This window comes from Homo sapiens, chromosome 2 (assembly GCF_000001405.40).
Source record: "Homo sapiens chromosome 2, GRCh38.p14 Primary Assembly".
Taxonomy (NCBI): domain Eukaryota; kingdom Metazoa; phylum Chordata; class Mammalia; order Primates; family Hominidae; genus Homo; species Homo sapiens.
The window spans coordinates 232,240,818-232,255,711 of record NC_000002.12 but is presented as its reverse complement, the minus strand read 5'-3'; the positions used below and the strand labels follow the sequence as shown (position 1 = coordinate 232,255,711).

At 42.6% G+C, this 14,894-nt stretch overlaps 1 protein-coding gene across 4 annotated transcripts in view; it reads right to left on the bottom strand.

The window, feature by feature from the left end:
• The window catches only part of DIS3L2 (DIS3 like 3'-5' exoribonuclease 2), a 382,638-nt gene that overhangs the window by 88,639 nt on the left and 279,105 nt on the right, over window positions 1-14,894 (bottom strand). For all 4 annotated transcript variants that reach the window (NR_046477.2, NR_046476.2, NM_001257281.2 and 1 more), the window contains one exon: window positions 6,366-6,473. Coding sequence is in view for 2 of the 4 variants with exons in the window: in NM_001257281.2 (NP_001244210.1) it covers window positions 6,366-6,473 (108 nt within the window). In the remaining 2 variants the exon portion in view is untranslated. The remainder of the gene's footprint in view (window positions 1-6,365; window positions 6,474-14,894) is intronic.

Below are 14,894 nucleotides of genomic sequence, written 5' to 3'. Positions count from 1 at the left end.
TTGTGAGACCCTTCTTTTATTATTCTGATCTTTGGCCCTAAGATTCTAAGGTTCTAAGGTCTAAGGACTTAGTTACTAAGTCAGAGAATAAGACTCTCACAACCAACATGTGAGAAATATGCTAAAAATAAATTATTCAGCGTTTATTGACCTAAAAGCCTGAGCACTAGCTTAATGAATGCATACATGTCCAAGATTTTCTTGTGAGTGTTTAAAAAAAAATTTAGTAGGCGTTAAGAAAACGTTGGAACAATCTTTCTATAGCTGACCATGCCTGCTCCAGAAAGTAAGCCATTCCAATAGACTAAGGAAAAATACAGAGCTTTCTCCACTTCAACTCCAGGTGAGACTGGTGGCTACGCAGCAGCTGTGGCATGATGCTGTTGGCCCTGCTCTGACTCCTTCTAAGTCCAAACCTTTACGCCAAGAGAAGTCACCACTGCATGCAAAACCAGCCTCAGACTTTGGCCACACAGGCTTCGGAGATCCTCCTCTTCATCACTGGGTTCTTGATGCAGGGCTACCCCTTGCCCGTTGGCCTTCTCTGGCTCCCTAACCCTCCCATCTGGTTCCGAACTTTGTTCCCCCAGCCCTTGCTAAACTCAAGCTTTCCTTGCCAGTGTCTTGAGGAAGGACCATCCCTTGGATGTGAGTCTGGAATCTGACCTCTCATTTCATGCATCTTGATTGTGGGTAAGAGATACTCATCCCAGGACTAACCAACCAGGTCTACCTCTCATGTGGTCGCTTGGTCTGGGCAGGGTGTTTGGATAACCAACAGTACAAGGAGTGTGGTTAGTGGGCTTTGCCCTACAACTCTGTCTCTAGTCCAAACTCTCATTACTTCCGATCTGGCTTGGTTTGCACTGAGGCCCACAGCCCCTCCTGGATCCTGTGCCTACTTCACACCTGCTCTCTAGTCCCTAATGCCAGTGGCCTGGGCACCAGACACTACCTCCAACAGAAACCCCAGAGGCCAACTGAGTTACAGAGTTTGCCACTTTCTAGTGCTTCTTTTATGACCCTCATATTTTAGAAGCTCATTAGATTGGGCAGCTTTTTATTTCTTGGGTCTGACTTTGGCAGGCAAAATTCAGACTCAAAGTTCTTTTCTGTTGACTCAAGTTAGCTTTCTTCTATGGGCTTTTATTTTCTGTTTAGTTAAACTTTCACGAAAATAAGCATTTATAAAAACATAAAAGCTACACGTTTTCAAAAAACATTAGAAAATACAAAAAAGTAGAAAAAATTACTCATAGTTTTACTACCCAAACATAACCGCTATTGGCATTCGATTTTATTTCCTACTGGTCTTTTTCCATTCATTTTTTCCCCTATGCATGCTCCCACCCCCACCAAAATATGATTGCTGGCATACTGTCCTCATAATTCCTTCTGTTTTCAGATAGCGTTTGCCTCTTAACTCTTAAAAAAATCTTTAAAAGGGTGCTTTTTTTTTATTAACCCGATATTTAAGAGCCATAAAAACCAAATATAATGTGTATAACTTGTTTTGATCCCAATTCAGGAAAATCTATGGGAGAAAGGAAGGAAATCTATTACGGACTGGGTTCAGAATGACACCAAGGCATTAGTAGTCACTGTTAGGTGTGCTAATGGCACTGTGGTATATAAGAAAATGTCCAAAATTTTTTCAGCTTCATACTAAAATATGTATGAGCGAAATGACATGTCTGTGGTTTGTTTTAAAACACTCTGTCTTGATAGTTGAATCTGGGAAGTGGGGAGGATGGGTTTATTGTGCCCTTTACTTTCATGTATGTTTGAAATTTTTCACAATAAAAATATTAAAGTATACATAGTTCAAATAGTTTTAAAGTATTGTTATGAAAAACAGCAGCCCCCATCCCTCTCTGTTACTTCCCAAGAGTAACTACTTTTACCTCTTTTAAAAGAGTATTTGGATATTAACTTTCTATATAACCTGTCTGCTACTTCCTGATTTTTTTTAGGCATTATTTGCAAACTTTTCACTACAGAAGATAATTTATTTTTTCTTCCATACACACTCCCTCCCCCACCATGCCCACGTAACTATTCTAGTCCTTAATCCTCCTAATACATGACAATGATCAGAATTCATTTTATCAATCTACTATTATGATTACATAAATACTAAGTGTTACTTTTCTTTTCTATACAACTTTTTATTCTCACTGGAATTAATAACTGTCTTTTTATTTGCTTGGTTTTTCTGTGTGCTATGTATATTAATCTACCCCAAACTTTCCACCAACTGTCCATTTGGTTCTCAAGGTATGGTCCATGTACCCCTAGGGATCCCTGAGACCCTTCCAGGAATCCAGGAGGTTAAAACTATTTTCATAAAAATACTAAGGCAGTGTTTGTCCTTTCCACGTGCTGACATTTACACTGGTGGCACAAAAGCCCTCGTGGGTAAAGTGGCTGCCTTGGTGCAAATCCGACAAGCACACCTGTGGCTATTGCACTCCAATACCTCATACTCGTATCGAACAACCGAATGCTCTGGACAGAGGAGTAAAAATTATTAATTTTATGATGTCTCAACCCTTGATTGCTTGTCTTTTTCACTTTTGCTGCATGTAGAGGTACGCTGGTGGTCTTGAGGAAAAGCAATTACATAACTGAGTTGTGAAGTGAACTGATTGCTCATTTTATGGAACACCATTTTTACTTGAAGGAACAACTGACACACAAACTATAGTTTAGACTTGGGTATTTTGGGGAGATGAGAGAGCTCACTCTCTGGTGTCTGTTTTTTATTTTTTTTCATCCACACAAGGTCTCATTATGTTGCCCAGGCTGTGCAATCCTCTTGCCTCAGCCTCCCAAAGTGCTGGGATTGCGTGGCGTGATCATGGCTCACTGCAGCCTTGACTTCCCAGGCTTAGGTGATCCTCCCACCTGAACCTCCTGAGTAGCTGGGACTACAGGCGCATGCCACCACATCTGGCTAATTTTTGTGTTTTTAGTAGAGACAGGGTTTCAATATGTTGCCCAAGCTGATCTCGAACTCCTGGGGTCAAGCAATCTGCCCGCTTCGGCCTCCCAAAGTGTTGGGACTACAGGCGTGAGCCACTGTGCCTGGCCCAACCAACTTTTGAGAAACTATTAAAGTTTGGTGTAGTACAAAAATGAATAGCCACAATTATCTGAAAAAGTTATTAAAATGCTCCTTTCTTTTCCAGCTACATATCTACACATCAACCAAAACAACTGATTCTAACAGACAGAATGTAGAAGCCCACGAGAGGATCCAGCTTAGCGTCCTCTTCTTTTTCTTTTTCTTTTATTTTTTTCAGACGGAGTTTCACTCTTACTGCCCAAGCTGGAGTGCAATGGCACGATCTCAGCTCACCGCAACCTCCACCTCCCGGGTTCAAGTGATTCTCCTGCCTCAGCCTCCCAAGTGGCTGAGATTATAGGTGCCCGCCACCAGGCCCAGCTAATTTTTTGTACTTTTAGTAGAGATGGGGTTTCACCATGTTGGCCAGGCTGGTCTTGAACTCCTGACCTCAAGCGATCTACCTGCCTCGGCCTGCCAAAGTGCTAGGATAACAGGCATGAGCCACCACACCTGGCACTTAGCATCTTCTTTAAGACAGACCTGAAGGACAGTGTAGTAGCTGTGACAGGGATACTGACTATCTGGCCCTTTACAGGAAAAGTCTGCCAGCCCTGATCTAAGTGATTCCTTCACTTCTTTCTGTATTGGATTATCTGCTTCCTGCGTCCCATGTCTTCCTCTTTCTTCATTTACTCCTCCTTCATTTTGGTGAAGCACATCTTCTGGTGGCTTTCTGAGAAAGGGTGTATGAGATGGACATTTTTGTTGAAGCCTTGTATGTCTGAAAATGTCCTTTCCTACCCTTTTTATTGATAGCTTCGTTGGGTACAGAATTTTGGCATGGAGATCACAGTTCTTCAGAAATTAGAAAGCTTTGCTTCACTGTCATCTAATTTCTAGGGTTGTGGTAGAAAAGTCTGAAGTTATTCTGATTTCCGATTTTATCGTATGTCTTTTTTTCTTTGTCCACAGTGTTCTGAAATTTTATAATGATGTGTCTTGATGATGTGCCTCCACCCCTGTGCTAGGCAGTGTGCCCTTTCAATATGGAAAATCACATCTTCCAGGAATGGGGCATTTCCTAAAATTATTTTGTTGATCATTTCTTTTCCTCTGTTTACTTTGTTCTCTATTTCTGGAACGGTCATTGAACAGATATTGTATATCTTGGACTAGTCTTCTAATTTTTTGTCTTTTCTGTCTCTTCTTGGGACAGCTCCTCAACTTTACCTTTCAGTAGGAATCTTGAATCTTTAATTCTTCTAACCTGTGTTTAATTCCCAAGAGCTCTTTTTTTCCCTCCAAATGTTTCCTTTTTAAAGTATCAAGATTTTGTGATACAGCTACCTTCTTTTTTAAAAAAATTCCCTAAAGATATAAGTGATAATTTCTTTTCCCTGCTAGTGTGTTTTGTTCTAGTTACTTTTTCCTGTTTACTTCATTTTCTGTTTGTTTACTTCTTTCCTGTTTTGTTTGTACTCCAGTTGAATTACACATATACTTAAGAGCCCTAGGGCTAAGTGTAAACTCTGGACAGGGTTTCATCAAAGTAAAATAAAGCTATTGTTGAATCAATGCATTAGTAATAGCCTCCCTATTTCACATTAGAAGCTTCCCTCGGGTTGTCTCTTCATATATGGAAATGAAATCCTAAAAAGCTCTGATTGTGCGGGTGAAGCTTATTGTCTGTAAGCTTTACTGTAGGGAAAGACAGCTGGGCTGCTGATTGGGAAACTCTTAAGGTTAGTATCTTTATGTTTTTATTCCTCACTATTCAGAGTCCTCAGAGATTTTCCCATGTCCCGACTCATGGATATAGGCCTGGCGACCAGAATTCTGGGGCTGGCAGCAAAAAGAAAGCTGACACTCTTAACGTTCAGTATGCCAACATTCACTCAATCTCCCCCAAGGTGTCACTGCCATCAAGCATGTTTGATGTCCTCTAGTTCAGACACCTCTTACTTTACCCTGTCTAGAGAACACATTTCTGATCTTCCACTAAGTTATAGGAGGGGCAATTTTTAAAAATAAACTTTCAATACTGTTGTTAGCCTCACTCTCCCCCACCCCTCCCCCACTTTCTAGAATTATCTGGTACTGTCAATTTCTGAATTGTTTAGGGTTCTGCTGCATAAACTGGGTTGTTTCTTGGCTTTCTCTATTGCTGGCTCAGGATTCAGCTTTCTCAGGACTGCTAAGTCAGTTACACTCATCCATCTGCTACCCAGATTCCAAAATTTTGTTGCTGTTGTCTCCTCTCCCACTCTCTTTGTCCTTGTGGGTTTATGTCTTTAAAAAAAAAAATCCTTTTACTGTTGTTTTAGTGAGGTTTTGGGAGGGAATGAAAGTAAATGTGGGTATTTGATCCTCTATCTTTATTTGGAACCTCTTTATAATTAAATATCTTTTTTTACTTCCATTTAATATTACAGTATAAACACTTCCCATGTTCTTCCATGGTCTCTGTCAACAACTTTAATAACTGCATATATTCCACTGAGAAGGCACCAGGGCTTACTTAATCACGACCCTACTTCTGAATGTTTGGAGTTGTTACATTTGCAGGGAGGGGACTAGTTTCTCTTTCATGTATCTCTCTCCTGCCGTTCCCTATGATACGCATAGGCACATCCCGACGACAGGCACAGACATCTTTTTCCTTATGCCCAGAAACCCCTGCTGACATCCTTCTCTCCTCTGTTCTTGGTCTGTGGTTTCACCACCTTGTGCCTTGATTATAGCACTACCTTGCTAATTCATCTTCACCGCTCCAATCATCCAGCATGACGATGCACCACTGACCTTTCTACAATCAGCTTTCTCATGACACTTCAGAGGAACCCTAACACCTACAATTCATTTGTGATTCTCCAGTTTGATTTCACCCCACCTATGTAAACTTCCCACTTTACCTAATGTCCTCCTCTAAACAGGCTCTGCTCTCCTAACTGCAGGCTGGGCTGCCCCTCCTGCCTTTGCCAATCCTCATTCAATCCCACTTACACCCTGTCTCCTGCATAAGCCTCCCCGGCATCACTCTGCTTACTCAATTTCTTCCTTCACCTGATAACAGACAAGAAGCCTGTTCTAAGTGCTTAAGGTCAGTCTTGGCTTCTAAGTGGGGCCAACGGCTCTTCCGAGGCAGGGACTCTGACATTTCTCTATGATGGCTACTCCATACCTCCCTTGTCTTACCACCATGGCACCCAAGCCAGTGCCAGGCACATGGTGAGTGCTTCATGACTCATGGAACAGAAAAGAGGTAAGTGGAGAAAGAAAACGTGTAAGTTGTTACCTTGCCCTCTGGAGTCAGTGTCCAGATCACAGAGAAGGTCAGCTTGTCGGACATGGGGTTGAGGCTGCACAGCTCCTCACACAGCAGCCTGGGAAGCATGGGGACCACCTGTAAATAGAGCACAGGCCCATGAGCACCTTTCTCCAACCCGCTTAGGAGAAGCCCAGTGGGCAGAGTTTTGGTGAACAGCTTCAGCTTTTCCAGAGCAAGCTGAAGATGGAGGTGGCTCTGTTCCCAAAGACTCTGCAGAAAGACCACACTGTTGTATACTTTTCCATGCGCCTCTAGAGTCAAATAGGAATATGAGCTGGGAAAGTGAGGAGAACTGGTAAGGGAAGACAAAAGTACAATGCAAGCAATGTAAAATAGCTACATTGTATTATCTACTAAACCTGAAGCTCCAGACTCAAGAAGTACTTGTGCTTTTGGATATAAGCACTCCAGTTGAATTATACATATACTTAAGAGCCCAAGGGTTGAGTGTAAACTCTGGACAGGGTTTTGTTAAAGTAAAATAAGCTATTGTTATTGTTGAATCAATGTTTTAGTAACTGAATATACCGTAATTTACCAAATTACATGTTGGAACATTAAGAGACTACTTCAATAAAATATCACTAGAGTGATAAAACAGAAAGGATCATACATCCAGGTTTCCTAGATAAACATTGTGATCAACTAGTTATCCATTTTCCCATTTTTTAAGCCTAAATTATTTCTTCTCCTTATTGATCTTTCTGTTCCATAATAAACTGAGTCAACGGTATATACTCTTTAATTAAAAACTGTTTTTCAGCTTACTTTCAAATGATGACTTGCAGTTGTCCCAAAATATTACTTGTTTTTTTTCCTACTATTCCAAAGATGAAATGAATATCTCTGTATCTCCTGAAATTACTTCAAAAACTCTCTCCCATCTACCACTATCTGTTCCTTTTCCCATATTTTTCTTGATTAATGGCAGGACCATCCACCCCACCTCTCTAACTAAAAACATCAGCAGTACTAGCCATTTACTCAACACACTTACTATGGCCCACTTTGGCTTGCAGTGTTGAGCATGGATAACACTGTAACCCCATGCTAGGTAACTGAGAAGTGATAGGCAAAGGGTGGCCATGCTGTAATTGAGGGACATTCAGCAAACTATGTTTCTTTACGGGCAGAAACAGAACAAACCCCAGCGGCTTCTTATTCTGCGTGAAGTATCTGCAACTGTACTCTACTTTAGTACAGTAAATATCTTTGGTATGGAATAGTAAATTCTAGAACTCATGGCCCACACCAGTAACAAATAATTGGCAATTGTTTGGTATTTCTAAAGAATGTCATGTCTTTTAACATCTGTATGAAACTTAATGACTACCTGATAACTCTGGTAACAACTTTTCCTACCAGCCTTCGCTAACAGCTTTTACAGACAACTACCTTTGAAATTTTTTTCTTGCCATTACTTTTGCACCATCAGTTCAGACAATACTATATTTTCTTTGCTAACTTATTTTGTGATGCATTAGAATGTAATCCAAATATTTAACATTTTCTTGTATATGTCAAGTGTTTTATAAAATGATACATCTTCACCTGTTTAAAAATAGTGCACAAAATGGAGAAAGCTTCAAGATGATACCATCTCGTGGTTGAATGATAAAGATTTCACCTACTCAGCCTTTGGGCTATCCTAGGGACTGAATTGGCACCCTCCCCCCCGCCCCCCCCCCCCCCCCCCCGCGGCAGTTATATGTTGAAGCCCTAACCCCCAGTGTGACCGTATATAGAGACAGGGTCTTTCAGAGGTAAGTAAGGTTAAATGAGGACACGGGGTGGTGCCCTGGTCAAATACGACTGGTGACTTTATAAGACAAGAAAGAGACACAAGTCTCTCTCTGCATGAGTAGGCACAGAGAAAAGCCCATGTGAGGACACAGCCATATACAAATCAAGAAGAGACCATCACCAGGAACCGAATTGGCTAGCACCTTGATATGGGATTCTGGCCTCCAAAACTGGGAGAAAATAAATCTCTGTTGTTTAAGCTATGGCATGTTACTATAGGAGCCTGAGCTAAGACAGACTACATCAAGTTTGCTGGGTATGCATTCTTGTGTTCTCCTCTGGGCTGCATTAACAGTTCGTTCTATCAACTGTATTTTGGTAACTGGCTGCTCAGCCACCCAGCATGCTTGTTGCAATGACATCAGTCCAGGGCTTAATGCCTTTTGTACAGATAGTTAGTGTGTCTTCTAAGTGTTCACGGCAGTATCTTACTTTAAGTCACAAAGCTGAGCATCTGACAATGCATTATAATTCCTAACTTCATATTTAGTGTTTGTCAAAAGAAAGTCATTATAACTTGGGCCAGAACTAGAATCTGGAACAGAAAGAAAACACTGATGGAAAAACTAGTGAAATCCAAATAAAGTAAGGAGTTTAGCTATTTCCAAAATAAATGAGCTTATTAAAAACAAAGTCACTGTTTTCATTAATTGGTGTGTGTTACACATTTAAATATGAAATAAATGAATGCTAATTATTTAGTGAAAACCTGATCTGTTTCTATATGTTGGAATTTGGGGTTCAGATATTATTTGCAAAAAGGGCCTCACCACTTAAAAAAATACAACAAGGTCTAAAGACCTTTTTACAGTGAGTGAAGTGCAGACTCAGCAGCAGCATGGTGCAGGAAAGACAGCAAAGGCTTTGCCACCTGAGAGACTTGGGGGCTAATCCTGGGCCCACCGCTTCTTGTACAATTTGGGCAAGTTAGTAAAATTTTGAGTCTTGGTCTTCTTATTGGTAGAACAATACTGAAGATGCTCAGTGAAAGTCAGCTCACTGGCCAGCCCACGGTATCCAAGGTGCACTGTCACCAGGCTCAAGCATCCCCTTCAGCTTTGTGCCCTGGCCCTCTCCCGGGGCACTGGCAACACCAGTCACATGGGCCTTCCCACTGCACCCCCTTCACCTGTCTGTGTGCTGCTCCAGCTCTTGCTTGTGCTGGTCCCTCTTTCTGGAACACCTTTCTGGACATTTTACATCTGGCAAACTCTTGTACATCCTTTCAGATTCAGCTCATTGCCACTGCTAAAAGGTTTATCCAAAATCCCCCAGGCAGAGTGTGTGCTGTGTTTTACACACCTCCCCTGTTCTTTCAAAGAGGATTTGGGGCCATCCTACACAGTCAGCCACTTACTCCATCCTCCCTGCTCTTCTGCTGCATTTACAACACTGTCCTAATTGCTTCTTCAGGTGCCTTGAGTGCCACAGACACTGAAACCTCAGGAGCAAGGGCCAGGCCTCACTCCTGTCTCTCTCTACACCTGATGCATGGTAGGCACTTCCAGTGTGTAGACAACTGACTGGCTTCTGCCCAGGAGATGGACCACCTCTTTTTTTCTATGTTTACTGCATCACATAAAACATTTTATGAAATATACTAGAGACTTATATTTAAACATCTTGACAAAAAAAACTTCATAAACAACTAGTATTTTAAGTATAAGCTACACTGTTTTGGCTACTAACCTAAAACTTACCAGCACATGCAGTGGTTGTGCAGGCTATAAAAACTGTGTGGTATCCTATATCTTACACAGAAGACATTTTATTAATCACACTGCAATGGTCAGTTACCAATCTAAGTGCTCATGAAAAAGCTGAACTTTAAAACTTTTTGGTTAGTATAATTATATTTAATTTTTAAGAAGTATTTTTTATAAAAGACATTTACCAGGTCTTAAAGCAGAATTCAGACGAAATTCTCATAGAAAACAGTCTTTAGGTATATATAGTTTTGTAAATAGATGGTTATTCCTCTATGTTTCAAAGGAAAAGGAATTAAGAGGTTACAATCACATTTGTGGTTTGGCACATCACAGCCTCTCATAAATGGGGCCTAATTCCTGCCAGGGTCACTGTGAATGTGCTCTCCCACAACCCCAGGCACAGCAGGATCCCTGTGGAGGAGGGCTGGAAAGGAGAGGCAGGCAGCCCCTTCTGATCAGCTGCTTTCTCAAATCCAAGTCCCATTATGTCAGGGGGAGACCCACCTGGACCATGGCGCAACAGTCCATGCACCCAGGTCAGCTACATGAGGCCTGCGATGGTTCCTGAGAGCCTCTGGGTCAGGGTGATAAGTGTGGAACACCATGTCTGACTGGAAAAGAAAGGTCTCTCCAGGAGCTGGGAAACTCCTGGCTATCATTAGAACTGTGCAAATGTTCATACATTCCCTGACCCCTTGATCCTTTTCCCCAGTCTTATCCTGTCTTGTCCTCATTAACTTTGCTATGCAGTGTGAACCACATGGATAATTTCTTCAAGGTTCTTTATTTCCCTCACTTCTACTATCCCAGCTCCACAAACCCTATGATCGATCTTATAATCGCCCTTTCCTACTTCTGCAAGTCCTCACTGAGCAGTGACAGAGAAAACTGCTGGGCCGTGTGGAGGTGAGTTGCTAAGCTGTCTTAGTTCTTACCTCCATGAGGGTTGGCAGGCCTTTCACCTCTCTTTGTTAGCTCCTTCCCCACGCCCCTCAGAAGAGGTCCCAAAATGTTACTATTCTCCTCAGACCTCTTACCTGACTGCCTTCCCAATCTTTCTCAGCAGAAAACCTCAACTCTTCTTCACAGAGAAAACTGAGATCATCAGACTCAATCTGTTGCAAGCAACCTTCCAGCTCCTTCCTTTGGCCAATTTCTCCCAGGCCCACTCACTTTACATGTGTGCCCTCGTCTCCTGCCATCTCACAACGAGTGTCTTCCCTGTCCAAGGTCTGGCCATCTGGCCTTGTGACTCCACATACGTCTACAATGCCCTCTGGATACCATGAACTGGATGTCCCATGAATGTTTCAAACTCCACATGGAGAAGACAAAGTTCAGCATTTTCCTCCCTTCTTTACCTGTTCCACTGACTACATTTCCTACCTCTGTTAAGAGCAGCGCTCTGTCCCAAGTTAAATAAGCAAGGAAGCAAACGACCACCCCTCCCTCAAAACCACCAAAAATCAAAACACCACACCCATGTCTCCCCACACTCCTCACCCCTGTCCCCAGAACACAGCTGGGGATTTGCCTGTGATTCTTCACTCTCCTCTCTCTCCCTTCTACATCCAATCACTTCCCAAGCCTAGATCTGACATTCTAACGCTCTCAAATGAGTCTTTTCCTCTCCTCCTTCCACTATTCAAGTGTGGATATGTCTCTCTTCCTCTCTCAGATAAAAACCAGTGACAATTCTGAAGTAGAAATTATTCTAGATAAGACTTGTTTATTCTCCAGACTTCTGCATCTTCTTACTAATCTCCACTCAATGATAATCTGCAATTCCATTTATGTTAGGACACACTGGCTTTACCTTCCCAATAGCTAAGGAGCTGAATTTAGTAAATGGACTTTTGCATGTCCTGTGGATGAAGGAGGGCCTAGAGGGTTCCATGGGGCCAAAAGGTTTTTGGAAAAGCCTGCACCCTCAATGTTCAGTGGCTAAGGTCACAGGTGGCCAAGAGTTCCCCACAGGGAAGCGGGAGAAGGACCCTATCTCCGAGGGGACAGCAAAGATAACAGTGGGAAGCTAACTTCTCCATTTTCCCTGCCCTTTGCTTCTCCCTACTTCTTCTTGTGTGATATGCATTGCCAGAATTGGGAAGAAACTACAATTTGAAGTAACTGAAATGCTGCTTGTTCAGAATGTCCATTTGGCACTAGGCTGAAGACATCTATTGTCCTAGTTCTCCTGGGGTCCAGTTAGACATTACCACATTGGTAAACTCTCATAAGATTTTGTGAGCAAAGATCTCTGTGTTGGGGTAGTTATTCAGAGCCTCAAGAGGATATGACTGGGGGAAAGGGCCCAGGTACTGATGACAATTTTCCTGCCTCTGGCCTCACTATCCTTCAACCACACAGTTGCTAAGGTGATTTTCTATCTTGGTGGAAGGAGACCGTATCACTTCCCTACTTGCCCTCAAAATCTGAGCTCCTTCGCCTACCACTCCAGGCTTCTCTTTGTAACCTCATCCGTGGCTCTCTCTACAACTCACACCCCAAGAATTCCAAACTGCATACTGCTCCTTGAATGTTCTCTGCTTTTTCTAGCCTCTGCCTGGAATGCCCTCTCTGCCCATTTTTGTCTATCTAGAAATTTTCTACTCAAAATGTGAAACACTGTTCAAAACACGATTGCTTTGTGAAGCCTTCTTGGACCTTGCAGAAGCTCCTCTCCCACCACCAGCCCAGGCAGATACAACCCCTCTCTCTTCTCTAACACCTCCTCACCTTTGGGGCACTTCTGTACCTGAAGGTAGCCTGATGCATTGCAAGTGTTTGCTACCTGTCCACCTCCTCTGCTTCCCCAGGGCAAGACCAGAATCTGTCTCATCTTTACATCCCTCGAACATGACACACAGCTGGTACTCAATAAATACCAAGTGGAGGAAGACTGATAAGCACTTCAGGCAGCAGAAAAGGAAACGGGGCTTGAAGGATGCTAAGTCCTCTTAAGCATGCTTTGGGGCCAGGACCAAAGTTGAGTCAGGGCAGAGCTTAAGAGCTGGCCGTGGAGAAAAGGGATAGTGATGATAGGACACTGACTTTCTAAGCATTCTGGACCAGGTCTTGAGAGAGTAGAGAGAAATTTATCATTTGGGTAAATACACCACTGCCCAAGGCAGCTGGGTGGGGGTACCAACAAGACTATAAAACCTTATATTAGCCTCAGAGAGCAGAAACATCTGCTAAAGCCACAGTGGGCAGGCTGGCCAAGTTCAGCAGCAGGTTAGCCAGGACAGCCCTGTGACCAACACAAAGGGCCACAGAAGGGAAGAATCAATCATTCAGGCAAGGAGGAGCAGGAAGGACTAGCAGTGATGTGGGAGCCAGATGCCCACAAGCCAAGTCATAGGGGCTTCTCCACTACCTGGAGAGGTTGCAGGGCCTCTTCTGCCCCTTTCAGCCCAGGCCTTTGCTGGCTCCCCACCCACACTCCCTCAGGCCTTCAGTGCGATAACCCATTGGCCATCGCAGCCCATATCTGCAGTCTGAGAATTGGTGACTTTTCCCCCTTTTCTCCGAGGACTTCGAGGTTTTAACAACAAGGTACACTCAGCTAGCTCCCTACTTACACACTGAAATAACTTAAAGGAAATAGATTAATTCACTTGCCAGCCAACATCTCTGTTTAAAGAGTTTTCTTTTCCATATCAACACTTCCATGAATTCAGAATTTGATCAACTCTTTGCTACACAGTTTGACGTTAACAAAACATCAACACTCTGACAACCTGCTGGTGTCAGAAAGAAACATCTTAAAACTCTTTGGACTCTACATTAAGACAGGCTTCCAATCCCAATCTTTGATCTCTATTATAAAGCAGTACCAATAAAATATCGTAGAGATTTATGGGCGAACTTTCACTTGAGCTGTTTCGCACCTAAAATAACATGAATGCTTGGGCCAATAGGCAGAAAATTTAGGTTTAGGTTTCAACTGTTTAGGTTTTCTTTTACTTTTAAAGCTTAATTTGCTTATTTTCTAAAATTACTTTAAACTTTGCAATTACATTATATTTATCTCCCAGAGAAGACAGTTGAGAGGCATTAACTGAGCAAATGTTGTGTCCTTCTGAGAAAGACAGACCAAAATTCAGGTGGGCAGGTGTCCCCTATCTAACGGAATCATCTTTTGTCAAAAAGTTTTTTCCTGATATTTAAATGGACACTACCTAAATTTATATTTCCACCTGATTATACCCTATTGTTAACAAGAATAACCAAATACTTATTACTGTGAGCAAAATCTCAACAAAAAGAATTTCATTTAAAGTCAGTGAGGTGGTATTTGGACCCAAGACCTGTTACACTGTATACTGTCCTACTCCATGGGTTAATCCCCCAATTAGAGTTTAGATAAGGAGCTAAGATTGCAGTTCTGGCATCAGTCACTTACAGATCTGAATGAAATCAGTGCCACATTCCCTATAGATGGGAAATGAACTGGAACCCCAGCCCCCCTTCCCCTGTGTGATGAAGCTGGGAGAAATGATTGTGCCAAGTGAGAAAGCAGAGAATCTGGAGGGCGGAAACACAGCTCATCCAGCTTTTCAGAAGACCTTTATAGGCAAAGTAAAGTGAAAACAGCAGAAAAGTTCCTGGACACAGTCCTTTAAGAAACAAAACCGAGTAGGAAGAAAGGTCAGAGCAGCGGTTCAAAGGAATCAGAGCGCACAGCTGCTGCTGTCCAAGGTTGCGGGCCGGCGCCACTTGTGCCTGCCAAGCTGGAGGCAGTGCCGGGCAGCAGAGGCGTGCGGGCCCTTCCTCCACCCAGCTCCCCACTTTCACAACTCAGCAGCAGAGCCCCAACTCTGTAGTCCCACAGAGAAATTCTAGAACTGTGACAAACACAAAACCAAAGGAAACAGAAAAGGAAACATGCTTAATTACTTAACCCAATTTGATTTTTTCATTTTCTGATTTTGAAAAGTAATTCCTGGTTATAAAAGGAGAGCGCAGCAGCTAGTGCATGGCC